This window comes from Homo sapiens, chromosome 21 (assembly GCF_000001405.40).
Source record: "Homo sapiens chromosome 21, GRCh38.p14 Primary Assembly".
Classification (NCBI taxonomy): domain Eukaryota; kingdom Metazoa; phylum Chordata; class Mammalia; order Primates; family Hominidae; genus Homo; species Homo sapiens.
In genome coordinates, this window is record NC_000021.9 from 42,764,463 (window position 1) to 42,789,291 (window position 24,829).

The following is a 24,829-nucleotide window of genomic DNA, read 5'->3' on the forward strand; positions in this document are numbered from 1 at the left end:
GCTCCTCCAGGGACAGGACCTGGGGAATCAAAGCAAGTGAACGCCCCTTAGTGTAGGCCTCGTCCCACTGAGCCATGTCGGAGAGCATCCCGCAAGAGAAGGAGGCGGCACCTGATTGGAGGAGCAGCCGCTCTGCACAGGGGATCGTTCTCGTGCCCATCCACCGTGGGGACACACCAGCATTGGCCTGCTTCAAATGCTTCACTGACTGCAAAATATGACTCTCCTCTGGGGGTAAAATTAGTTGTCCCACTTTTTTAAAAATATATTTTGTCATGGAAGATTTCAGGAATAACTGAATAAATGCTTCACTAATAACACAATTAAATGTTTACAGGAAAATTGAATAATTCAAGATACAAGTGATCCCCCCAAAAAAATATATATATATACAGTTGAAATGACCTAGATTGATGGGTTTGGGTTTTGTATCTGATGCTTGTTGTTTTATTTTCTTGGAAGAGGAAAACATCATACCTGGCACAGAGATGTGTTCTGTAAATGCTTGTGGGGTGGGTGGGTGGATGGATGGATGGATGGATGGATGGATGGATGGATGGGTGGATGGGTGGATGGACAAATGGATGGAAGGGTGGATGGATGGATGGGTGGATGGGTGGATGAATGGACAGATGGATAAATGGGTGGAAGGATGGATGGATAAATGGATGGAAGGGCAGATGGATGGGTGGATGGGTAGATGGATGGAGGATGAATGGGTGGATGGATGGATGAATGGATGGGTTTTTGGGTGGGCAGATGGATGTGTGGACAAATGGATGGGTGATGGATGCACATATGAATCGGAATAAGAGATACATGAAATAATGTGTGCAGGGGGCTCAGTACACAGTAGGCCTCCGCTGAATAATTGTTCAGACTATACCCGTGTTAACACGTTGTTCTCTCGCTATTTAGGGAATGATCACATTAATCTTGGCCACTGACATGGCAAGACATGCAGAAATTATGGATTCTTTCAAAGAGAAAATGGAGAATTTTGACTACAGCAACGAGGAGCACATGACCCTGGTGAGTGGCTTATTCTGCCTGGGTGGGCAGCCAGGCGGTGGGCTGGCGAAGCAGGTCATCCATCCAGCTCACACTGGAAGCCAAGAAGCTGAAATTATTAGTCTTCTTGGAACAAGGTGTCTATAAATCTGGTTTTCAAGGTCATGACTCTTACTAGGAAAGTCCGGGCAGGGCCTCCCTCCTGATGGGTCCTCCTTCATGGTCAGAGGCAGCATTCTCCCATTCCTCCATCTCTTTTGGATTTGAAGGAGATAAGTGGGTGAAGGCCGTGCATCTCGCTCTGCTTTCCAGAGAATAAAACCAGCTCTCCCATGAAGGCACAGCCCCAGCATGGCACTCTGAAAGCCCACCTATGTGGGGGCAACTCCAACACAGCTCCCGCTCCCCAAGCCAGCATCCCCCACCAGGCCCACACCATAGCCCAGCACCCCTCCATAACCAGGACAAGGTGGCCAGAGAAGGGGTAGGGGGCCTCCCCCATGAGAAGGTGCACTTAGGTTGCCCAGCATCTGCCTTTTGGAAAGGACAGGCACTGGGCACACCAAGGCACACAAGGACCAGAGCACGACTCATGCCTGGAATCCAGCACTTTGGGAGGCCACGGCAGGAGGATTGCTTGAGTCCAAAAGTTTGAGACCAGTCTGAGCAATATTAGCAAGACTCCATCTCCACAAAAAAAGAAAGAAAAATAAAAAAATCAGTGCATATCTGTGGTCCCAACTGCTTGGGAGGCAGAGGTGGGAGGATCGCTGGAGCCCAGGTCCAGGCTGCAGTGAGCCATGGTCGTTCCACTGCACTCCAGCCTGGGCAACAGAGCAAGGGTCTGTCTCAGATAACAGAGAGAGAGAGAGGTGCATGAGAACTGCCCTCCCGGCCTTCAGAGAGAAAGCTGGTTTTGTGGAGCCTTGTCTAAGCATCAGGTGCACCCCTGGCATTCTTACTCTGAAATTTGATTATCTGTTTAAAATCAATAGCATCACTTTCCACCTCCAGAGAGGTTGAAAGATAGGGAACTCTCGGCTCAGGCTGACCTTCTAACCATCCAGTCCCAGTAGGTAGAGTCATTAGGACTCATCGCTCTCTGGAGCTGAGGTGCAGTTAATTCCCAAAGACTGTGCGAGAGGATGGGAGCTCCCGCAGGCAAGGGCTGGACAGCAGGCAAACCTCCCCAGGCCAGGGCCACCAGAAGCCCCTTCCCTAAGAGGGAAACAGTCACATAGAGCGGCTTCCTGGCAAGCAAGTTTCTTGCTCCTGAAAAACCAAGGGAAGGAGGGAGGCGCCGCCTTGTCCTCTAAGATATGAGGAAGGCAGAGATGGACCTGCAGTCAGGGGTGACCCAGGCCCCGCCGATGCCTTCCTCCTCTGAGGTGGGAGGAGAGGTCAGGGAAGAGACGGGGAGGGGCAGGATGCCAGAGGATCGGGTGCCAGGTGGTCAGGACAAGTGAACCCAGCTGAAGGTCCCCACTCCCACCCCACCCCCAGCCTTACACACTGCAGCTGTGCAGACCAGAGGCAAAGCGAGGCTCAGAGCCCAGGGTTCCGTTTATCCCAACGACCTGCACCGCGGGGTCAGATGACAAGCAGCACGGCCAGGCATCGTCTCACTGCTACGGAGCCCCAGACGGGGCTTTATGAACACGGGTGGAGGACAGAGGTTGGGGTAAGGTCTCGGGGGAAAGGTTCTGATTCAAAATGGGCCCCAATAGGGAGGCCTCTGAGGATAGTGCGGGCCAGCGTGGGAGGTGTGAGGTGCAGGGAGTGTGGCCGGCAGGGCCTGGGACCTTGACCTTCCCCAGAGACACTGCTGCCCTGGCCCTGCCCTAGGTCTGGTGTCGGGACAGCTCCACTGAGGCCGGCCAGGCACAGGCTAGTCATTGCCTCTGATCTGGAGCCGGACTCCACAGAGGAGTCAAAGAAAGGCCTGAATGGCTTCCTGGGAACTGATAGGGCAGGGAAAGGAAGGGCGACCACAGCAGGATCCCTTCGAGGTCCTGCCGAGGTTGGAAGGCAGGATCCACCAAGCATCATGCAGACTCCGAGCTGAACTGAGCTGCTCCTCACCTAGTCACGTTCCCCAAACCAGCAGGTGCAGCCCGCAGCCCGGGGGCATGTGCCTCAGCTGGGCTTTCCTGTCTAATCAGCTTCAGAGCCTGGATGGCAACCAACACTTTGGTCTGGAAACCTGGTGATTCCAGACACTCATTTGTGCCCGGTGCAGGCAGGGCCACGGGACGCCAGCCCTCCACCTCTTGTCCTATGGCGACATCCGGGCTAGTTTGGGTGGAAGCTGCTGCATTCCTGGGCCTGCCCTATCTCCTCCTGAAGCTCCTATGGCATGCCCAACCCTGGCCAAGCTGAGACAGAGCTACCTGTCCCCTGGGAAGATGAGCAATGCACCCACCTAGGGAACAGCAGAAAATAGGGGGTGACCAGGCACAGGGCAGTGCTTCAGGGGATATCACCTGGGCTGGGGTGGCCAGAAAGGCTGGAAGGAGGGGACCCAAACAGGACCTTGAAGGTTCATTCTCCATTGAGAAGGGAGCCTGTCCTCCCTGAAGGCAGCCAAGCTCAGTTGCATGGTCCAGCAGGTCCTCCGTCTCTTCCTGCCTGTAATGGCAAGTCCAGACCCGAGCAGCAGCAGCAGGCCCGTGTTCTACCTCCTGTTACCTCAATTCCAAAATCTCTTCTTTCAGCTGAAGATGATTTTGATAAAATGCTGTGATATCTCTAACGAGGTCCGTCCAATGGAAGTCGCAGAGCCTTGGGTGGACTGTTTATTAGAGGAATATTTTATGCAGGTAAGAGTCTTGCAGAGCAATCAAGCCTCCAGCCACTCTTATTAGCCCCACTTAGTAAGGGTTTGCGTTAAACGAGCACGCCTGGGTGGTCCCGCATATTCCCCGGGCTGCCGACAGTTCAGCCTCCAGAAAGCCTTCAGGGTAAGCGTACATCAGAAACAAAATAGGTTATAATTTGAGACCTGAAAGACAGTAACAATCCAGAAAAGCTAATACTCTAAAACTGTCACCTGTCACTGCTAATTGAGCCATTATTACAAGCAGCCTTGTCAAACAAATTGCCTGAAAGTCAAGAAGCAAGGACTGCAGAAGCAGGAGGGGGCCCAGGAGGGCCGAGACCCAGCAGGTCAGCTCACACAGATGGCCACGGGGAAGGTCGGGGACATAGAAAACCAAGCCAGCTGAAAACAACCACCAAATATTAATACAACAGCTTGATGAACCCTAGGAGAAGTCGGGAGGCTTTCTGCAGGACGCTGCTGCCGTCCTGGGATACATCCATCCAACTCACCTCTGCCTATCTCTCAGGTCGGTCTTCCCAGCTAGACCTGCACGCCCAGCTCTGTTTAGCACTGAAGATAGGGTCACCTTCTCCTTGTTCTTACTGAGACACATTTGTGGTGTGGTTTGGTTGGTTGGTGGTTAACTGGCGCATCTTGTCTTTCTCTGAGAACAGCGATCTGGTTATGGGGCATTTCTGTCTCTAATGTCACTGTCTGCTGCATTCCCTGCAGAGCGACCGTGAGAAGTCAGAAGGCCTTCCTGTGGCACCGTTCATGGACCGAGACAAAGTGACCAAGGCCACAGCCCAGATTGGGTTCATCAAGTTTGTCCTGATCCCAATGTTTGAAACAGTGACCAAGGTGAGTAACTGTCACCACATGTCACACTTGCTTACACTCAGATACATGCATGCACACACAGGCACACACACATATACACATATGCACACAGGTACACACAGACACACACTCATGCACACACGTACACAGATACACACAGACGCACATACAGGCACATACACATATACACACACGCACACAGCTACACACAGGCACACACACAGGCACACACTTGTGCACACAGGTACACAGGCACACAAATGCACACACACGGCACACACAGGCACACACTCGTGCACACACATGTACACAGGCACACACAGGCACACAAATGTGCATGCAGGTACACATGCACACAAGGCACGCAGGTACACATGCACACAAGGCACACAGGCACACACAGGCACACAAATGCACACACAGGCACACACACACACACACATGCACACAGGTACACACAGGCACACAAATGCACATGCAGGTACACATGCACACACAGGCACACACAGGGACACACAGGCACACATAGGCACACAAATGCACACACAGGCACACACATACACACATGCACACAGGTACACGCAGGCACACACGTACAGAGGCACACACATGCACACACAGGTATGCACATGCACGCACACAGGTACACACAGGCACACCTGCACACCTGCACATCCTGAGCAGCCTCTTCCCCGGCTGTCGTGGTGACCGCTGTCCCTGTTCCATCCAGAGCCTGCTCCCCACAGCCTGGCCCGTGACCCCAGCATCTCCCACTCTGTGCTGCACTCCCTGCCTTGCCTTGCTGGGCCCTGGGGGGCCCCTCACTGCCCTCACCCATCGCTGCCGGCCTTCAGGACCCTGGAGGCAGCACTGGCTGTGGACTCTCCTGTCCCCACTCTGCGTCCCAGTTCCTCACCTGTGGAGGAACCCCTGAGCTCTGTGCCCTCGAGCTGTGAAGCCCCTGTCCAGCTCCCAGTCTCACCGCACCCAGCCACCGAGACCTTGCTCCTTGCACACAGCTCGTTCCTGCCCAGCTCCCCCCAGGGCCTCTGAGCTGCCTGTGGCCCCCTGCCAAGGCCCCCACCTCAAGGCACCCCCAGCATGTCCAAAACAGGCCCATCTCTTGTTCCCCCCGGGGATCTGGGCTCACAGCCTCACACCCTCCGACCTTCCTGGGCTCCTACGCTGCGCATCCTTCTGCTCTAGGGCATCTCTTGGAGCCAACCCACCCACTTCCCACTCCCAGGACCCTCAGCCGGGAGGCTGTCAGCTCCTTTCCCCTGCCCCGTGTCTTTGTAAGAACCTCCCAACCTGTCCCCCACCCTCATCTCACGGGCACGGGGGACACAGGAGGCAGGAAGGGGACTTTCTGTAGGACCTCATGGAGGGTGATGAGGGCCAGAGACAGAGCCGCAGTGGGTGGAGGCAGCAGAGCCGGCACGAGGGTGTCCAGGAGCTGGGACTGGCCCAGAGGTTTCCGCACGGAGCACCTGACACCTGTTTTTCTCCGACGTTTCCCATTGCCTTAAGAACGAGGGACTCTGAATAAATCCGTGTGTCTCTCCCAGCTCTTCCCCATGGTTGAGGAGATCATGCTGCAGCCACTTTGGGAATCCCGAGATCGCTACGAGGAGCTGAAGCGGATAGATGACGCCATGAAAGAGGTAAAACACACTGAGAAGAGCCTGCCTTCCTTGCGGCAAGCAGGCACGCTGCCCTCCGCACTCCCGACTCCAGAAGCTTGGACGTGCCAAGCAGGGCACCACTGAAGGCCCCGTGGACAGGCACACGTGTACCTTCCATCAGAAAGCCTGGCTCAGTAAAATTAGGGAATGCGATGAGGGAAACCAAAACTGCATTCGCCAAGAACACGTCAGGTCTCAGTACCTTCGAGGGAGTTTACTGGCCGTGCCCTTCACAAGAATCACAACTGTCACCCACACCTGTGGACACCCAGGTGTCTTTGGGTGTATCAGCCGCCGTTAGAGCATCTGGGACCCCTCAGAGTACAGTGCCTGGCCTGGCCCCAGGGCTGACTTGTTCAGAGGAGGCCATGGGGTAGAAAGGGGCCCTCCCCTGGCACGGGGACAAAGCGACCACCCACCTGCCAGCTCCCGGGCCCAGAACACACACCGGCACCTCTCAGGGGCCAGGGAGCCTGGGGCTGGCTTTAGGTTGCTGCTGGATAGATATCATTTTGGAGGAAGGGGTCCAGGTCACAGCCTCAGGGCCCACGCAGTCTTTCTACGGATTCCCCACGGCTGTCTGCTGTCCTGCTGCCCATGGTGTGGCCTCTGCCCCTCCCAGCCTCCTGCCTCCTCCCTCCAGCGCCCCCAGGCAGCTAGAACAGTCTTACTACTCCTGCAGGGTTTGACCCCTCCTGGCCTTGGCCGGTGTTGCCTCTGCCACCCCCGCTCCCCACAGTGCCACTGAAGCACCCTCCAAGGCCCGTCAGTCAGGGCTCCCCTAGTTACTGTGCCCACCACCCCGTCTTTTCTGCCTGGGCGCTCCTGAAGCCCATGTGGCCCACAATGCCCTTTTGAGCACTGAGCCATTTTCCAGGCGTAGCCTTGGGTTGGTCTCATCTCCCTCGACTGACGGCCCCGTGCTCCCCATGCCCACACCCGCCTGGAGCGCCATGCCAGGCACATGGTAGGCGCTCAGCAATTGCTTAGGAGTCCACTGAAAATCCAGACCAGCTGCCCTGACTTCTCCAGTTGATGTCTCCTACTGGAAAGTCACAGAAAGGTCTCTAAACCTCTGGAAGGCTGAGAGCACTTATGCAGAGGGACAGATGTAGCAAGAAGGCTTCCCCCACTCCACAACCCCGCAAGAGAGCTGAAGGGGCTTCTGCCTCTCTCGTGGGCCCTCCGAGAGCCATAGCCCTGATGGCCTTGAGTCTCTAGTCCTGAGCCCTGCTGCCCAGTAGGGGATAGTAGGGTTCCTTAAGGCCTCTGCCTTCCCCCCTGTCAGCCCCCACAAAAAGGAGAGACACGCCAAAGAGGTGAAAAGGCCAAGCCCAAGCCGCAGGCTCTGCACACACCACCAGTCCCCGCGGCTGTGGTGGCTGCAGCTGGGTGAGCTCACTGTCCAGGCCCCAGATGAGGCACCAAGGGTAGCGGGACAGGGTATGCAGAGCTGCCTCTGAAAAGCCCATGTCAGGAGTGCTTGGGCTCAGAGGGGCTGGGGACCACAGGCTTTCACGTTGCAGCACCTCCAGGCAACAGAAGCTGCTGGGAGAGAGGCAGACACTCCCCTGCTGTCTCCTGCTCCCTGACTTGGCCTTCTCTGTACTCTGTTCCAGTTACAGAAGAAGACTGACAGCTTGACGTCTGGGGCCACCGAGAAGTCCAGAGAGAGAAGCAGAGATGTGAAAAACAGTGAAGGTAATGCTTGCTCTGCTGAAGTGGCATCTCAGCGCATACAATGATTCTGACAAAGGACAGAAGGAAAGAGGAAGGGGAGAAAATCTGAATTTTGGAATACCTTTAAATGAATGGAACTTTTTTTTTTTTTGAAACTAAGTCTCGCTCTTGTTGCCCAGGTTGGAGTGCGATGGCACGATCTCAGCTCACTACAACCTCTGTCTCCTGAGTTCAAGTGATTCTCCTGCCTCAGCCCCCTAAGTAGCTGGGATTACAGGCATGAGCCACCATGCCTGGCTAGTTTTTCTATTTTTAGTAGAGATGGGGTTTCACCATGTTGGCCAGGCTGGTCTTGAACTCCTGACCTCAGGTGATCCACCCACCTCGGCCTCCCAAAGTGCTGGGATTACAGGTGTGAGATTGCGCCTGACCAAATGAATGGAAATTTTATTTCTTGCAACTAATCATTAGAATTAGGCTCTTAAGGCTGGTGGCTCATGCCTGCAATCCCAGCACTTTGGGAGGCCAAGGTGGGCGGATCACTTGAGGTCAGGAGTTCAAGACCCAGCTTGGCCAACATGGTGAAACCCTGTCTCTACTAAAAATACAAAAATTAGCCAGGTGTTGTGGCGTGCACCTGTAGTCCCAGCTACTTGGGAGGCTGAGGCAGGAGAGTCACTTGAACCTGGGAGGTGGAGGTTGCAGTGAGCCCACATTGCGCCACTGCCCTCCAGCCTGGAGAACAGTGAGACTCCATCTCAAAAAAAAAAAAAAAAAAAAGTGAGGCTCTTAAAGAAGGGGAACATGCTTTAGTTAATAGAAAAACATCAATAATTAGCATATGTATCACTTATAAGAGTAAGTACTTTTTAAAAGTGCAATTGAAGTACTGAAAACTTTTCACAAATCACGTGTTTGCTTTATATGGCTTTGAGCATTTTCCTCTGTACTTGTTGATACTAGTCATTCAGCTCACGGGGAATGCAGAGCAGCCGTTTGTTCACCTCATAATAAGGTCACACTAATGGCCAGGCACGGTGGCTCACGCCTGTAATCCAAGCACTTTGGGAGGCCAAGGCGGCGGATCACGAGGAGATCGAGACCATCCTGGCTAACACGGTGAAACCCCGTCTCTACTTTAAACACAAAAAATTAGCCGGGCGTGGTGGCGGGTGCCTGTAGTCCCAGCTACTTGAGAGGCTGAGGCAGGAGAATGGAGTGAACCCAGGAGGCGGAGATTGCCGTGAGCCAAGATCGCGCCACTGCACTCCAGCCTGGGCAACAGAGCGAGACTTCGTCTCAAAAAATAAAAATAAATAAATAAGCCGGGCGCAGTGGCTCATGCCTGTAGTCCCAGCACTTTGGGAGGCCAAGGTGGACGGATCACAAGGTCAGGAGATCGAGACCATCCTGGCTAACACGGTGAAACCCTTCTCTACTAAAAATACAAAAAAAATTAGCCGGGCGTGGTGGTGGGTGCCTGTATTCCCAGCTACTCGGGAGGCTGAGGCGGAGCTTGCAGTGAGCCAAGATCGTGCCACTGCACTCCAGCCTGGGTGACAGAGCGAGACTCTGTCTCAAAAAAAATATAAATAAATAAGTAAATAATAAATAAGGTCAGACTCCATCTCAAAAAAATATAAATAAATAAATAAACAATAAATAAGGTCACACTCTCCATGTCTAACAGATAATTCAAGAGATAGTGCATCAAGCATGCAAGGCTCAGGGCAGGACAAACGGGACATGGCTCATAAGAGGAGCTGCAACAGGCTTTGGCATCCAACACACCTGGTTTTGAGTCCAGGCTTGCCAATTACAAGCCGAGAGATGTGCACAAGTGTCCCAGCCTCTCTGAACCTCAGAGCCCCAGTCTCTAAGCCAGAGGCAATAATACCATTGTTACTGCTGTTTTAGTGATTAAACAGTCAAAGTGCTTGTCTGGTCCCGATGAAGTGCTCAGTCAATGTTGCCATTTAATTTTTAAGTCAGTTCATATTTTTCAGTGGGTCAGAAAAGAGATCAATATTGTTTTACTTTGTCTAAATGTGTTCAGCAATATATCTGATGGCCTCTTTCTTTTAAAATGGTCTGTGTGTCGGCCGGGCACGGTGGTTCACACCTGTAATCCCAGAACTTTGGGAGGCTGAGGTGGGCAGATCACTTGAGGTCAGGAGTTCTAAACCAGCCTGGCCAACATGGTGAAACCCCATCTCTACTAAAAACACAAAAATTAGCCAGCTGTAGTGGCGTGCACCTGTAATCCCAGCTACTTGGGAGCCAGAGGCAGGAGAATTGCTTGAACCCAGGAGGCGGAGGTTGCAGTGAGCCGAGATCACGCCACTGCACCCCAACCTGGGCAACAGAGCAAGACTCCATCTCAAAAAAAAAAAAAAAAGTCTGTGTATAATCCTGTAACGTTTCTGCGACTGCTGGCACTTTTTTTTTTCCTTCTTTTGTGAGACGGAGTCTCGCTCTGTTGCCCAGGCTGGAGTGCAGTGGTGCAATCTCGGCTCACTGCAATCTCCACCTCCCGGGTTCAAGCAATTCTCCTGTCTCAGCCTCCCGAGTAGCTGGGATTACAGGTGTGTGCCACCACGCCTGGCTAATTTTTCTATTTTTAGTAGAGACAGGGTTTCACCATGTTGGTCAGCCTGGTCTCGAACTCCTGACCTCGTGATCCACCCACCTTGGTCTCTCAAAGTGCTGGGATTAAAGGTGTGAGCCACCGCGCCCTAATTCTAACAAAAACAAATCAGTCATCGTTTCCCTTCTTCCAGGAGACTGTGCCTGAGGAAAGCGGGGGGCGTGGCTGCAGTTCTGGACGGGCTGGCCGAGCTGCGCGGGATCCTTGTGCAGGGAAGAGCTGCCCTGGGCACCTGGCACCACAAGACCATGTTTTCTAAGAACCATTTTGTTCACTGATACAAAAAAAAAAAAAGGAATTCATGATGCTGTACAGAATTTTATTTTTAAACTGTCTTTTAAATAATATATTCTTATACGGAAATGGGTACTGTACTTCTTCTTTGGTAGAGTTGTGTATGCTGCTTCCGGTAAGTTCTCTCATGGAGACGAAGGACACTGTGCTTTTCCCCCAGATGTATCTTAGAGCAATTGACCAGTGTGATGCGGTGCGTACGTCCCTGTAAATTCAGCATTAAATGTCAGCACGGTGCCCTGAGTGCAAGGACATGCACGGGTCCTGTGTTTCTGAGCAGAGGGGGACGTCAGTGCCGTGTGTGGGACATCTGGGGACTGAGGCAGGTTGGCCAGACTGTAGGTCGTGTGTCGGAGCAAACGCACCCATGACCATGGGGACAACACACACTGGGTGCTCATGTGGAGGAAGGCTGGTGACTTCACACTTAAATCCTCAGATAAGGAAAAGAGACACATGTATTCAGCACGTCTGAGGGTCTCTATCTCGGGAGGAGAGACGGCCCTCCCTTCCTGCCTTTGTTTTGGTAACAAGCACAGGGGACATTCTGGGTGGCACTGTGTCCACACAGGGGACCCAGCCCCCGGCTTGTTCATGGTCAGGCTCTTGTTGCTGGGACAGTCGCACCCCTGAGCTCTCACTGAGACCGCCCGCATGCGGTGGACTCCTGGAGACCCGATTTATAAAAAGCAAGGAAAAGGCTGCTGGCTGTGTCCCCTGGGCTGTGGGCTCCATCTCCCCTGCGCTCTAGAGACAGAACCACCTCCCGAAGCGCTTCACCCTACAGAGCTCACCTTTAAAGCCACTGGCGTGGTCTGAGCTTAGTAAACATTTCATTTCTGTTTTGGGTCACTTTCCTTGGGGCATTTGTTTCCTTTTGGTGAATTCCAGAATATTACTTCCCACCTTCAAATAATTCATTTTTTACCTGTAAAATTTTCCATCTCGAATCCAGCCGAATACAGATAAGGGACCTTGATTTCTACACCCCTTCTTGTTTCTGCTTTTGTTTTTCATTTGAATCCTATTAAAGCCAATAGATATGGCAACGTTGGCAAAAATAGAAGCAAAACGTAGGCGTGCGGATATTGATGCCCTCCACCTTCCTGCCAGCCTCTATGGGGGATGATTACCTGCTCTCCTCATCTGTAACAAGGCTCTTTCAACAGCACCTTCATCTGCTACATTACTTGGAATGCACATCTCACTAAACGGTGCCCCTCATCAAACTCCATACAACACTTCCTTGAATTTTACTATCATAAACAGAAACAATCACATGCACACACATGGACATGTATACACTCCTACACATCAGCACACTTCCTCTGGTTCTAGGCTATACTGCATCCTGAAACAATTAAATGACTGAGATCCATTAGGGGAGGCATCTAGAGAGCATCTACTGTTTTTTTTTTTTTTTTGAGACAGGCTGGAGTGCAGTGGCGCGATCTCGGCTCACTGCAAGCTCCGCCTCCTGGGTTCACACCATTCTCCTGCCTCAGCCTCCCAAGTAGCTGGGACTACAGGCACCTGCCACCACGCCCGGCTAATTTTTTGTATTTTTAGTAGAGACGGGGTTTCACCGTGTTAGCCAGGATGGTCTCGATCTCCTGACCTCGTGATCCACCCGCCTCAGCCTCCCAAAGTGCTGGGATCACAGGCATGAGCCACTGTACCCGGCCTGACGGCATCTACTGTTAGTCCTGGTTGGTGTGCAGCCAGCCTGGTCTCCATGCACGGGACCCCCAGAAAGCCCACCAACCCACCCTCCTGTCACACAGAGCAGTCCCTGAGGCCCCACGGTTGGAGGCCACGTCCACCCTGGTCAGCCTGCACACCCAGAGCCTGCCCGCACCAGGAGGCAGCCACACGGATGAGCTGAATCATGGGCTGCATGTGGCAGTGGAGGCTCAGGACAAGACAGATGTGCCTACGGCCCCGGAGAGCTCTGGGTCCAGCAGCAGAGGCGTTCCCCCAGGCCTGGGGGCATGCCCAGCATAGGGAGTGAGTGTGCAGACACAGGGTCCCACCCCCATGAGCACAACCCACTGAACAAGACGCCCCTCTGGGGTGAGCGGCACCATCTCCACCTAGGATGATGTGTTTCCAAGTGAACTCTCACCCGACAATCAGTATTAAGTCAGCATGAAGGGTAAAGATGTTTACAGCTGAGCCACATGCACGTCAGGAGACAGGAGCAGCAATGCCTGGGGCTTTCCACGGTGAGCTCCCAGCACACAGCAAGCATGTCGCCAGAAAGAACAGAAAGTTCACAAAGGGAGGGCCAGCCTGTGCACAGCCTAGCACCGTCCTGGGAGGCCATCATCACCTGTGCTCCTCTGAGAGGACAGGAAGATGCTGTTTTCCACTTTTTTCTCCCCAAGACCGTTTATTAGCAATTGAAGGAACAACGCATGTATCAAAGACTGGATTTGAGAAATTCCAACAAATCTGCCCCCTCGCAGTTGGGAGCTGGCATCGTGCAATCTTCGGAATGCAGCCTCTGGCTCTCCCATCAAAAGGCAACGCAGCCCCCTGTGATTTCAGCTTTGACCTTGTGGGTAATAAAAGAAGGAAAGAGGAATGTCTGCTACTGGAATCCTGGATGGGGTCCCCGCGGCCGAATCCCCCCTCCCGTCCCCTCCTGTGTCACCTGTCATGTCTCAGACTTTGACCGCCTCCCGCAGCTTCCTTTTATTCGTAATGTCTAAAGCCAACCCAAGCGTCTTTGCCGGCTGACGTCTTAGCCAAATCATGTGGGAAACCCGTGAAGCAGAACTGACCGCTGTGAGGGCTGGGAGTACACTGGGCATCTGAAATACTTCAGCCCAGGAAAACGTCCATCAGTGGACACCGTCGGTTCCCAGGTGGCCTCTGGAACAGGAAAGCAGTCACCCCCTCGTCCGATCCCACAGGAAACCTCATTCCACTCTAGTGGCAGTGGCTGGGGCTAGATCCCCCTGAGCCAGGAGACGACGGGCAGTGCCCGGACAAGGCTGTACTCTGTCCACAGCTCCTCCACTGTGGCTATGAGGGAGGTTTAAAAATCTCAGTCCAGTGGGGGGGGTCAGCCCCCTGCCCGGCCAGCCGCCCCGTCTGGGAGGGAGGTGGGGGGGTCAGCCCCCGCCCGGCCAGCCGCCCCGTCTGGGAGGGAGGTGGGGGGGTCAGCCCCCCGCCCGGCCAGCCGCCCCATCCAGGAGGTGAGGGGCGCTTCTGCCCGGCCGCCCCTACTGGGAAGTGAGGAGCCCCTCTGCCCGGCCACGACCCCGTCTGGGAGGTGTGCCCAGCGGCTCATTGGGGATGGGCCATGATGACAATGGCGGTTTTGTGGAATAGAAAGGCGGGAAGGGTGGGGAAAAAATTGAGAAATCGGATGGTTGCCGGGTCTGTGTGGATAGAAGTAGACATGGGAGACTTTTCATTTTGTTCTGTACTAAGAAAAATTCTTCTGCCTTGGGATCCTGTTGATCTGTGACCTTACCCCCAACCCTGTGTTCTCTGAAACATGTGCTGTGTCCACTCAGGGTTGAATGGATTAAGGGCGGTGCAAGATGTGCTTTGTTAAACAGATGCTTGAAGGCAGCATGCGCGTTAAGAGTCATCACCACTCCCTAATCTCAAGTACCCAGGGACACAAACACTGCGGAAGGCCGCAGGGTCCTCTGCCTAGGAAAACCAGAGACCTTTGTTCACTTGTTTATCTGCTGACCTTCCCTCCACTATTGTCCTATGACCCTGCCAAATCCCCCTCTGCGAGAAACACCCAAGAATGATCAATAAAAAAAAAATAAAAAATAAATAAATAAATAAATAAAATAAAAATCTCAGTCCAAAGGCTTTCACCGTAGTCTGTCTAAGGGACAGATAACATCGTCTCTCTGAATTTGGGAGGGGACTGTTCTCTGTTGGTAGCCAAAAGGGGCCCAGCAAGGTGCTAGGGTTCCAGTCTCCCTGAGTCCTCAGGCAGGTCTTCCCAGCCCCCACCCTGGGACTCCCTGCCCTGCTGCAGGGGAACGTGAGGGTCAGGGGTCCCCAGATTCCTGGGAGCTGGGGCCGGTGCCCTGGCAGAAACACGGCCTCAGGCAGGGTCCAGGGCCTGTGGGGGTGAGTCACGTTGTTATGGGCTGAATTCTCTCCCCAAAACTTACGTCCAAGCCCAACCTGGTGCCTCCCAGTACCGTATTTGGAGACAGTGCCTTTAAAAGGTGGTTAAGATAACATGAGCTGACTGGGGTGGGCCCTGAGCCACTTTGACTGAGTCTTACAAGAAGAGGAGGTCGGGGCACAGATGCACATGAAGGGCGCCAGGGAAGGACAGACCCTGACACACAGAGGAGTGGGGACTCAGCAGAAGCCAGCCCTGCCAACACTTGTCTCAGACTTTGAGAGGTAAGTGTCTGTCGTTTAAGCCCCCCGCCAAGCTCACACACACACACACCTGTGTGCCTCGCTAGGGCTGCCCCAGCAGACTCACACATCACACCTCCCTCACCACCGAGTCCCTGGGCAGCAACGTGGGCCCGGCTCACAAGCAGTGCTGGAGACAGCTTGAGCTTGGGTTGACTGCGCCAGCATAGCATGATCTCTCTCTCTCTCTCTCGCTCTCTCTAAGGAAAAAAAGAAGATAAGAACTAGAGAGTCAGAAATGTCATCTCTTTCTTTCTTTTCTTCCTCCTTTCTTTCTTGCACTCCAGCCTGGGCAACAGAGTGAGACTCCATCTGAAAAAAAAAAAGGAAAGAAAGAAATTGATTTTATTAACCAAAACTAGTAAAGGGGAAGTGGCCAGATAGCCATCCATGGCAACCACTTCAATTTTGGGGAGGAAGGCAGGGGTTTAAGAAAGGAAAACTTGGCCGGGCATGGTGGCTCATGCCTGTAATCCCAGCACTTTGGGAGGCCAAGGTGAGTGGATCACCTGAAGTCAGGAGTTCATGGCCAGCCTGGTCAACATGGTGAAACCCCGTCCCTACCAAAAAAAAAAAAAATTAGCTGGGCATGATGGCAGGTGCCTGTAATCCCAGCTACTGGGGAGGCAGAGGTGGGAGAATCTCTTGAGCCTGGGAGGCGGAGGTTGCAGTGAGCTGAGATTGCACCACTGCACTCCAGCCTGAGCGACAGAGCGAGACTCTGTCTCAAAAAGAAAGAAAGGAAAACGTGATAAGGAAGAAATACGAGAATTGGGTGGGGTACAATGTCTGTGTGTCTCGAGTGGCTGTCTTGGGTCCCCATCCACCTGGGTCTCAGGCTGGCATCACCTCAACAGTGGCCAGGTGGTGAACTAGCCACCTTGATGTCATCTGTGGCACTTTGCAGCTTGATCTCCAGGCTTGGTCTGTCTCAAGATTAGCCCCTGGAACGTCTAAGAAGGTGCATAATGAGATGCGTGCATAATGAGATGCGCACATACAGTTAGAGAACTGTGAAGCGGGTATAGACAGTGAGAAAGGCGGGGACGTGAAGCCTACTTTAAGGCTAAGGGAAAAGGCTTCTGCAGTTCGCTTCAAGGTTATATCTTAAAATCCAAGAGAAAGGGGAAAAAAAGTTAAGATGCATTTTGAAGTTAAGCTGCCTGGTTACAAGTGAAAATACATAAGAGTACTGGTTTTTTTCCGGTTAATCCTAACTTTTCTAATATATTTTGCTAGCAGATATTTAAAATCTGGTGGTTTAGCCAAAGAATTTGGGACAGCAAGACTATACAATCTTCCATCCGCTGCAAAGAGATGTTCGTTTTTTCTCAGCGTTTCTGAGAAGCTGGAAAACAAGGTGAGCTGCCGCCTTGGACACCCTCCTCTTAATTCTGGTTCCTTCCTGCTCGACATGGGGACGGGACAGTCCGACGCTCCCTCTCATGGGAATGTATTTGCAGACATCATATCATGGAAAATACTAAACACAAGTGTTGCCTCAGAAGCTCACGATGAGCCGGGTTCACGCCGGTGTAATTCTGCGGGGGCCGGACCCTGAATCTCATGCACGCGCGGCTGCGAAGGCGACGCAGCTTCTGCCTCTGAGCCGCCTCCTTCGATACATCCCGTGGGAGCGGGAGCCACACTGAGCGCCAGGTCTGCGGCCAGCCGGGTGGGAAACAGGCGCTGCTGCCAGCAAGCTCCTCCCACTCTGCTCACCTGCCCCGAGGTTCCCAGAAGTTCTCAATCAGTACCATGTCCTTTCCCCTTCTCGAAGAAAAACACTGTTGGCAATGGAACAGCGCATCCCATTATCCTCCTGTCTTCACCAGGAACAGGCTCCCCAGACAGCAGACACTGTTTTCCGCGAGCCGGAGGCAGCCAGATTTGAGCCCAGATACCGCCATGGCCACTCCTGCGAAACCCTAGAAAGCCAGGGACATATTCAGGGGACTTCTCTTGCTCCAAGAAGCCGTGCCTGGCAGTCAGCGCCTGCACACAGGCAGCTCCCATGGCAGGAGCATGGGTGGCCAAAGGGGCCAAGGTTCTCTGTTGTCAGTCCTGCCTCGCCTGCCTCCCCTCCCTCCCCTGCCTCTCCTCCCTCCCCTCTTTCCCGTCCCTCCCCTCCCTCCCCTCTCCCCTTCCTCCTCTCCCTCCTCTTACTCCCCTCCCTCCCCTCCCTCCTCTGCCTCCCTTCCCTCCCCTGCCTCTCCTTTCTCCCCTCCCTCCCCTCACTCCCTTCCCTCTCTTTCCTTCTCTCCCTCTCCTCTCTCCTCTCCCTTCCCTGCCTGCATGACCTTGAGCTTTTCCTCTGTTAGTCCCAGGAGCAGCTGCACTGGGTCAGGAGTTTCTGAGCCTGGCTGGTCCTCAGGCCGTCTGTGGACACTGAGACACGCCCCAGCCCTGAGATTCTGATTCTGTAGGCCTGTTCTGGTTGCCAGGTCTGTTTTGCCAAGCTGTGTGTTTCTGGTGCAAGGCGTAGGGTGCGCGCTCGATGGCCTCCTGGGTGCTGCCATCTGCCCATCTGTATCTGCATCTGATGCCCGTGAGGAGACATAATGGAAGCAAGAGTGTGGGGTGGGAGGCCCTAATTGTTTCAGGGAAGTGTCCCAGCTTGGAAGTGGATTCTTGCAGGGGCTCTGGTCTGGTGGAGAAAGTGGAGAAGGCAGCCTGGGGACGTGGCTGGGTGGGGAGTGGGCGCAGGCACAGAGCCAGCCTGCATGCTCCTTCTCTCCCTCCATGGACATAAGGACAGTGAAGTACTGTCCATACCACCGCGTCCAGGCATCTCACACGCCCTACACCTGAGAAACGGAGCTGAAAAATGAATTTGTGCTGTCCATCCACCACATCAGAAAGACGAGGGACAGTGATGCCTAGTGTGGGTCACCAGAGAGGCCCACAGGGGACCCCTAACCTGCTACAGTTGTGCTCTAGTCATTTGTTTCTTGGCATTAGGGGCACTTTAAACCATCAAATTAACAACCTCACCATAGTAACAACCTGTTCAATGTCACCAGGGGATCCTAATTGGCTCACAGTTAAGCCCCTTTCAACCTTCGCACTGTCGTGGTTGTCAGGACTGCCAAGCCGCCCTCCCATGCCTGCTCCTCATGCCTGTCCACTCTACAAGCCAGCTGTAAAACCCCTGCCCCCACCCTCTGTGTCGGTCCATGGTCACCACCCTGTCACCTCCAGCATCAGTCACGCCTCCGTGGTGGGCGTGGGGGCCCCACCCGAGGCTCCCGGGCATTTCTCTGATGGCTAATGAGACTGATCTTTGATTTTTGATCTGCTCATTGGCCATTCAGCTTCCTCTTCTGTGATGTGGTGGCCTCTGCCCACATTCTGCTGGGGCAGTTTGTCTTTTCCAAGTTGATCGCAGGTTTTTTTCTGGTTTTTTGTTTTTTGTTTTTGAGACAGAGTCTCACTCTGTCGCCCAGGCTGCAGTGCAGTGGCAAGATCTCGGTTCACTGCAACCTCCACCTCCCGGGTTCAAGCGATTCTCCCACCTCAGCCTCCCAAGTAGCTGGGATTACAGGCACCTGCCATCATGCCCAGCTAATTTTTGTATTTTTACTAGAGATGGGGTTTCACCGTGTTGGCCAGGCTGGTCTTGAACTCCTGACCTCAGGCGATCCGCCCGCCTCGGCCTCCCAAAAGTGCTGGGATTACAGGCGTGAGCCACCTCACCCAGCAATCAGATCACAGTTCTTTTTAAATTCTGGATTCTGATCCCTTGCAGTTAACTCTATGTCCTATTACATCTTCTCCCGTAATAGGTGATCCAGGAGGCTACAACAGGCTGAAGTCTGTGTGTCCCACACATTCCTATGTTGAAATCCCAACCCCCGAGGTATTAGGAGGTGGAGGCTTTGGGAGGTGATGAGGTCATGAGGGGAGCGTGAGACTGGTCCCCTTGCAAAAGGGACCCCAGGAAGCTCTGTTCCGCCACGTGAGGATGCACACGAAAGCAGCACCGCCTGCAGCCTGGAGCAGCACCCTCCCCAGAACCCGACCATCCCACCCCGATCTGCGATCTGCGGCTTCGGACCTCCAGGGCTGAGAGAGCCCAGGCTGCAGGGCAGAAGCCCCACTCTCCAGCCCCCGCCTGAGCTGCATAAGGCGGCCGCCCTTCCTCCACCCCCCTCTCTTCCGGGTCTCTGCTTGCGCTGGTTTCCTGTTGTTGCTGTAACAATTGCCGACGGAGCACCACAGATTCCCTCTCTGACAGCCCTGGGCGTCAGGAGCCCACAGGCCCTGCCACAGAACTGAAGCCAAGGTGCCAGCTGGACTGCTTCCTTGCCAGGGACCTGCAGGAAAATTCATCCTGGCCTTTTCTGTGGCCTTGCCCATGGCCTCGCCCATGGCCTCTTCCTCTGGTTCAAAGCCCATCATTCCAACCTCTGCTCCTATCATCCCCTCCCCTCTCCTTCGTTCCCTCTCCACTGCCTCTCCCTGCCCTCCTCTGCTGCCCTCCCGAAAGGACCCGAGGTGATACAGGCCCACAGGGCAGTCTGGCACAGCCTCCCCCGCTTCAGGTCCGGGGTTTAATCACATCTACAAAGTTGCTTTGGCTGTGGGAGCCAACGCTCACACGTTCCAGGAATTAGGACCAGGAAATCCTGGTGGGAGGGTGGGGGCAGATTCTGTCCTCCACCTGGCTGGGGGACCAAGTTGGCAGCGGGGCCTTTCCTGACTGCCCTGTCAGAAACTGCAGCACCACCCTACCCCACTCCACCTCACCCCTACCTCACCCCACCTCACCCCTACCTCACCCCACCTCACCCCTACCTCACCCCACCTCACCCCACCCCACCCTCATCCCACCACACCCCCACTCCACCCACCCCTACTCCACCCCACCTTTACCCCACCCCACCCCTGCCTCACCCCACCTCACCCCACTTCCACTCCAACCCACCTTACCCCGCCCCTACTCCACCCCACCCCTACCTCACCCTCATCTCACCCGACCCCACCCCACCTCCACTCCAGCCCACCCTACCCCATCCCCACCCCACCCCACCCCCACCCTCATCTCACCTGACCCCACCCCCAGTCCACCCCACCCCCACTCCCCACTTTGGGTACAAAAACCAGAAAAGCCCAGGCGAACGGCAGGAGGAGGTAGGTGTCCCGGCCCCATGCGCGCCACATGGCTGGCTTGTTCTGTCTGTCATTCCCCTACTCCTTGTTCTGTCCGGGGTTCCTCCAGCCCCACACCTCAGCATGCCTGTGATGCCACCCTCAGACAGCCGCAGGCCCCGCCCTGTGGTGGTCCCCAAAATTCCAAGTCCGACTCCAATGGCCCGAGACCGGCCAGGCTGGCAGTTTCATCTGGTTAGGGATGCGTGGGCTCCTCCACATTCCACCTTTTGAGATGTGCTGTAACCTTCTACCTGGACCCCAGACAGACAGGGTCAGCCGAAGCCCCAGGCACTCCTGGACTCAGGCACCCGTGACTGGCAGCAGAGCACGTCCCCTAGCCAGGGCCACGTTTGTCATGGGATCGCTGGACATTGGCCACCAGAATGGTGCTGGCATGCTGAATTGGGGTGGTTCAAAGTGTCTGTATAGATAGGCACCCTGCAGAACCTCCCTTCCTAGGATCCTGAACTCCCCAGGGCGGCCAGGTGGCTGGGACATGCTAAGGGTTCAGTGACCATTTGTGGGATGAGTGGGTGGATGTGAGTTGTGGTTGCCAACCTAAAGAAGCATGGAGGACAAAACCCACAGGGCAGATTGTGCTGGGGGACAAGGGGGTCCCCTGGTAGGCAAGTGTATTCATGTGATGTGTGTGCCTGGGCACGTGTGTACATTATGTGAGGACGTGCACATACCACTCACCTAGCCCTGCTTCCAGCTAAGAGAAAGGAAGCCAGAAACATGCAAAGATGCCAAGCAAGCACCCTGGGCACGGTTTTCCAGACCTCGCAGGGAACAGAGTAAAAGCTAGGAACGCTGGGCTTCACGAAGGAGCAGAGGGGGCAGGTGCGGAGGGAGGAGGCCGGCAGAGAGCAGGTCCCTCCTGGAGCAGCGCGATCGGGCGCCGAGGCCTCATGCAACATCCGACAACTACTCATGGCAAGGAGAATTCTGGACTGACTTTCTATTGTTTTGATTAAAAGTAATTTTATCCAAAAATCCAAAATGTACTGGACGTGCCAATCAGAATGGAACAGAAGGAAATGCCGCACTACCTGGCTGCCTCTCCCCTCGGCTGCTGGTGGCTGCCCATAGACCCCTGTAAACAGCTGATGCATGTCCCACCTGCACCATAGGGCCTGGAGGAAGCGGCTGTAGCAGGACTCGCAGAGTTCCCCGTGCGTGGCCACCGGCCCTGCCTCCATCGCTGTTGTCTCCCCGCAGGCCAAGGCGAGGCAGGTGGGGCGCACTGCATGGCTCTCAGGGGAAGGATCCACTCAGATGTTCCCTCTGCCCATCGCCTGCCCACCTTGGACTGCCCACCATCCTGGATGGAGCCACTGGAGGCTCCCGTGGCCCACACTGGCCCCTCCAACACCCCTGCTAACCTCAGGCATGGCCCATCGCTGCAGCTGTGTTGGGGTGCCTCTGCCATCAGGATGTTGCCCACACAGAAGCCACCTGCTCTGCAGAGAGCAGGAACTGGGGGTTAGGACCTGCATGTGTCGTTTTGGAGACACGATTCAACTCACGACACTCTTATAGTCTTAGCTTTCCCATCTGTCAACTTCTACCTCTTCAGTTGTTGTGAAGTTTTAATAAAATGAAGTCACGCCAGGCAAGTGCTTTGCATGAGGTCTGGTGCTCCTCGGGTACCCCTCGGGGCCTGCCTCATCTCTCCTGTGTGTGGAGGCATCGTTACTCCTATTCCAAGCAAGCACGGGTGGAGCTGTTAGTTGGGAACGTCTTTTCCTCAAACAAGCCAGGATCTGAGGAAAGCAGAGGGCAGGAACTGTGACCAAAAGAGAACAACAGACTCAGAGTACATGTGGAGATCTGGGATCTGCCAGCGGGGTCTCCCTGAGAGGCCTGGGATAGCTCAGGGGCTCTACAAACTGGGTAGTGTGACATGGGAGGGGGAAACTGATGGAAATGGGCAAGAAGGAAAAGGTTGACAGGGAGGTAAGAACCCAGGAGAACAAATCATGACCATAACCTACTTGGTCAATTTCAAACCTAAACTTTTGCCTTTGACTGCCTGGACACAAAAGGAGAGTGTGTCAGCTAGCCCTGGCTGTGTAACAAACCTCCCCAACACTTAGTGGCTTGAACAACAATGTTTATTATTTCTCACAGTTCTGAGGGTTGACAGGCAGATTTTTTGGTCTGACCAGCCCGGCTGGAGCTGGCTGGTTTACGATGGCCTCAGCCACACGTCTGCCACTTCGTTTGCCAGCAGACTGCAGTTTCAAGCACACGTCTCTGTCATTGTGTGGCAGGCTAACAAGGCTCATTCACACGGTGACAGGTGGTTCCCAGCAGCCAGAGAATGTTAAGTCCTCCTAAGTCTCAAGCACTTTTCAAGTCTCAGTATGCACGGATCCTTACCTCTCATCGGCCACAGCAAATCACATGGTCAAGCCCAAGTTTAAAAACTCGCTTCACAGCTGGACACTGTAGCTCACGCCTGTAATCCCAGAACTTTGGGAGGCCAAGGTGGGTGCATCACCTGAGGTCAGGAGTTCAAGACCAGCCTGGCCAACATGGTGAAACCCTGTCTCTACTAAAAATACAAAAATTAGCCTGGCATGGTGGCATGTGCCTGTAATCCCAGCTACTCGGGAGGCTGAGGCAGGAGGATCGCTTGAACCTGGGAGGTGGAGGTTGCTGTGAGCCGAGATTGTGCCACTGCGCTTCAGCCTGGGCAACAGCAATAATGAGAAAAAAAAAGAAAAAAAGAAAGAAAAATCACTTAATGACAGAAGGAGCTGCAGAGAATTTATGGCATTTTTTAAATTTTTTATTTATTTATTTATTTATTTATTTATTTATTTATTTATTTTGCAATCTACCAGAGTGAGGAAGATGGCTAAAAGCAAGATTGGGAGTCATTCTTCAAGCATCTGTCTTTAAATGCCCTTTTCAGCTTTCTCTATCACCAAGTCCCTGCTGCTTTTTCTAACACTTTCAAGAGCTACTTGACTCCAGGGTCAGGGCACACCACAACCCTTTATTATAAAGAACAGCTGAGGCCAGGCACTGTGGCTCACGCCTGTAATCCCAACAGTTTGGGAGGCCGAGGCAGGTGGATCACCTGAGATCAGGAGTTCAAGATCAGCCTGGTCAATATGGCAAAACCCCATTTCTACTAAAAATACAAAAAAAAAAAAATTAGCTGGACGTGGTGGCACACACCTGTAATTCCAGCTACTCAGGAGGCTGAGGCAGGAGAATCGTTTGAACCTGGGACGTGGAGGTTACAGTGAGCCAAGATCGCCTGGGCACCAGAGTGAGACTTCGTCTCAAAAAAAAAAAAAAAGAGAAAAGAAAGAATAGCTGAAACGTTAACTTGGCATCCGATGCTATTCTCCTCGAACTCACACTGAAGGATTCCACCTTCTAAGACTATTGAAACCCTCCATGCGGTGCTCCGAGAGACTGCCGGAGACCTGCTGCTGATCCAGTTAATGCTACCCCAGCACTGACGGGGTGTTGGTTACAACCAGCGTGAGTCAAGGAGGGAGTTAGCACCTAACTTCCAAGACTCAGGAGTGTGTAAAAAATGAGTGCCTTACATCTGGTGTTATTTTACCTCACCAGTTTTTATACATAGGTGTTTATTTTAGCCAGCCATCAAAGGGACCTTAAAAATGTAAAGAATTCTTACACATTCTCCTTGCAGCACAAATCTGTAATTAAGGGATTCTCAAAAACGAGTGCAAAGTTTTATTCTGAGACCCCCAGTGCTCACCGAAATTGTCACATTTGGCCTTCCACATGGTGGGAGAGCAGAGTCACTCAGTTTCTGCGAAGTTTAAAGGAGATTTGAAGCTTTCAGGCAACGCTGAGGAAGGTGGATAACAGTGTTTTACAAGTGGGAGAAACTTCAAATTAAACAAAGCACAGCCAGGTGCAGTGGCTCATACATGTAATCCAGCACTTTGGGAGGCTGAGGCGGGAGAATTGCTTGAACCCAGGAGGCAGACGTTGCACCATTGCACTCCAGCCTGGGCGACAGAGACAGACTCTATCAGAAAAGAAAAAGAACAAAAGAAAGAAAAGAAAATTTACAAAATAAATATCCTTACAAAAATTAAAAATAATAATAATAAATAAATAAAACAGGCCGGGCAAGACAGCTCACACTGTAATCCCAGCACTTTAGGAGGCCGAGGTGAGTGGATCACTTGAGGTCAGGAGTTCAAGACCAGCCTGGCCAACATGGCGAAACCCTGTCTGTACAAAAAATACAAAATTAGCCAGGCATGGTGGCGCACGCCTGTAATCCCA

General features: G+C 53.5%; 1 protein-coding gene and 2 long non-coding RNA genes across 26 annotated transcripts in view, besides 12 other annotated features; 1 reads left to right on the forward strand and 2 right to left on the reverse strand.

Moving 5' to 3' along the window:
* PDE9A (phosphodiesterase 9A) overlaps positions 1-11,047 on the forward strand; it is a 121,889-nt gene extending 110,842 nt beyond the window's left edge. For 23 of the 24 annotated variants that reach the window (NM_001315533.2, NM_001001570.2, NM_002606.3 and 20 more), the window contains 6 exons: positions 919-1,032; positions 3,726-3,830; positions 4,565-4,693; positions 6,241-6,336; positions 7,977-8,058; positions 10,818-11,047. In NM_001315533.2, the coding sequence (NP_001302462.1) occupies positions 919-1,032; positions 3,726-3,830; positions 4,565-4,693; positions 6,241-6,336; positions 7,977-8,058; positions 10,818-10,831 (540 nt within the window). In that variant the 3' untranslated portion in view covers positions 10,832-11,047. Of the gene's footprint in view, positions 1-918; positions 1,033-2,514; positions 2,693-3,725; positions 3,831-4,564; positions 4,694-6,240; positions 6,337-7,976; positions 8,059-10,817 lie in introns of those variants that run through there. The other variant, XM_011529600.3, reaches the window with a different exon arrangement.
* Positions 2,927-3,426: an enhancer, noted in NCBI's record as "H3K4me1 hESC enhancer chr21:44187499-44187998 (GRCh37/hg19 assembly coordinates)". NCBI's record gives its function as "activates a minimal SCP1, AML or CMV promoter by ChIP-STARR-seq in primed H9 embryonic stem cells {active_cell/tissue: H9 hESC(primed)}" and the evidence as "EXISTENCE:reporter gene assay evidence [ECO:0000049][PMID:30033119]".
* Positions 6,451-6,952: an enhancer, noted in NCBI's record as "H3K4me1 hESC enhancer chr21:44191023-44191524 (GRCh37/hg19 assembly coordinates)". NCBI's record gives its function as "activates a minimal SCP1, AML or CMV promoter by ChIP-STARR-seq in primed H9 embryonic stem cells {active_cell/tissue: H9 hESC(primed)}" and the evidence as "EXISTENCE:reporter gene assay evidence [ECO:0000049][PMID:30033119]".
* Positions 10,977-11,478: an enhancer, noted in NCBI's record as "H3K4me1 hESC enhancer chr21:44195549-44196050 (GRCh37/hg19 assembly coordinates)". NCBI's record gives its function as "activates a minimal SCP1, AML or CMV promoter by ChIP-STARR-seq in primed H9 embryonic stem cells {active_cell/tissue: H9 hESC(primed)}" and the evidence as "EXISTENCE:reporter gene assay evidence [ECO:0000049][PMID:30033119]".
* On the reverse strand, positions 10,990-12,349 carry LOC107985504 (uncharacterized). Its single transcript, XR_001755071.2, has 2 exons — positions 11,907-12,349; positions 10,990-11,183 (listed from the first exon to the last, which is right to left on the reverse strand). It is a non-coding gene; the product is annotated as an uncharacterized LOC107985504 (long non-coding RNA).
* Positions 13,024-13,093: an enhancer, noted in NCBI's record as "active region_18530". NCBI's record gives its function as "activates an Ori minimal core promoter by ATAC-STARR-seq in GM12878 lymphoblastoid cells {active_cell/tissue: GM12878}" and the evidence as "EXISTENCE:reporter gene assay evidence [ECO:0000049][PMID:35858748]".
* Positions 13,139-14,088: an enhancer, noted in NCBI's record as "H3K27ac-H3K4me1 hESC enhancer chr21:44197711-44198660 (GRCh37/hg19 assembly coordinates)". NCBI's record gives its function as "activates a minimal SCP1, AML or CMV promoter by ChIP-STARR-seq in primed H9 embryonic stem cells {active_cell/tissue: H9 hESC(primed)}" and the evidence as "EXISTENCE:reporter gene assay evidence [ECO:0000049][PMID:30033119]".
* LINC01668 (long intergenic non-protein coding RNA 1668) lies at positions 13,357-15,532 on the reverse strand. The gene is made up of 3 exons (NR_135517.1): positions 15,420-15,532; positions 13,635-13,855; positions 13,357-13,535 (listed from the first exon to the last, which is right to left on the reverse strand). It is a non-coding gene; the product is annotated as a long intergenic non-protein coding RNA 1668 (long non-coding RNA).
* Positions 13,788-13,847: a silencer, noted in NCBI's record as "silent region_13350". NCBI's record gives its function as "represses an Ori minimal core promoter by ATAC-STARR-seq in GM12878 lymphoblastoid cells {active_cell/tissue: GM12878}" and the evidence as "EXISTENCE:reporter gene assay evidence [ECO:0000049][PMID:35858748]".
* Positions 13,868-13,917: a silencer, noted in NCBI's record as "silent region_13351". NCBI's record gives its function as "represses an Ori minimal core promoter by ATAC-STARR-seq in GM12878 lymphoblastoid cells {active_cell/tissue: GM12878}" and the evidence as "EXISTENCE:reporter gene assay evidence [ECO:0000049][PMID:35858748]".
* Positions 13,948-13,997: a silencer, noted in NCBI's record as "silent region_13352". NCBI's record gives its function as "represses an Ori minimal core promoter by ATAC-STARR-seq in GM12878 lymphoblastoid cells {active_cell/tissue: GM12878}" and the evidence as "EXISTENCE:reporter gene assay evidence [ECO:0000049][PMID:35858748]".
* Positions 15,040-15,989: an enhancer, noted in NCBI's record as "H3K27ac-H3K4me1 hESC enhancer chr21:44199612-44200561 (GRCh37/hg19 assembly coordinates)". NCBI's record gives its function as "activates a minimal SCP1, AML or CMV promoter by ChIP-STARR-seq in primed H9 embryonic stem cells {active_cell/tissue: H9 hESC(primed)}" and the evidence as "EXISTENCE:reporter gene assay evidence [ECO:0000049][PMID:30033119]".
* Positions 16,477-17,200: an enhancer, noted in NCBI's record as "H3K4me1 hESC enhancer chr21:44201049-44201772 (GRCh37/hg19 assembly coordinates)". NCBI's record gives its function as "activates a minimal SCP1, AML or CMV promoter by ChIP-STARR-seq in naive H9 embryonic stem cells {active_cell/tissue: H9 hESC(naive)}" and the evidence as "EXISTENCE:reporter gene assay evidence [ECO:0000049][PMID:30033119]".
* Positions 17,925-18,648: an enhancer, noted in NCBI's record as "H3K4me1 hESC enhancer chr21:44202497-44203220 (GRCh37/hg19 assembly coordinates)". NCBI's record gives its function as "activates a minimal SCP1, AML or CMV promoter by ChIP-STARR-seq in naive H9 embryonic stem cells {active_cell/tissue: H9 hESC(naive)}" and the evidence as "EXISTENCE:reporter gene assay evidence [ECO:0000049][PMID:30033119]".
* Positions 18,649-19,370: an enhancer, noted in NCBI's record as "H3K27ac-H3K4me1 hESC enhancer chr21:44203221-44203942 (GRCh37/hg19 assembly coordinates)". NCBI's record gives its function as "activates a minimal SCP1, AML or CMV promoter by ChIP-STARR-seq in naive H9 embryonic stem cells {active_cell/tissue: H9 hESC(naive)}" and the evidence as "EXISTENCE:reporter gene assay evidence [ECO:0000049][PMID:30033119]".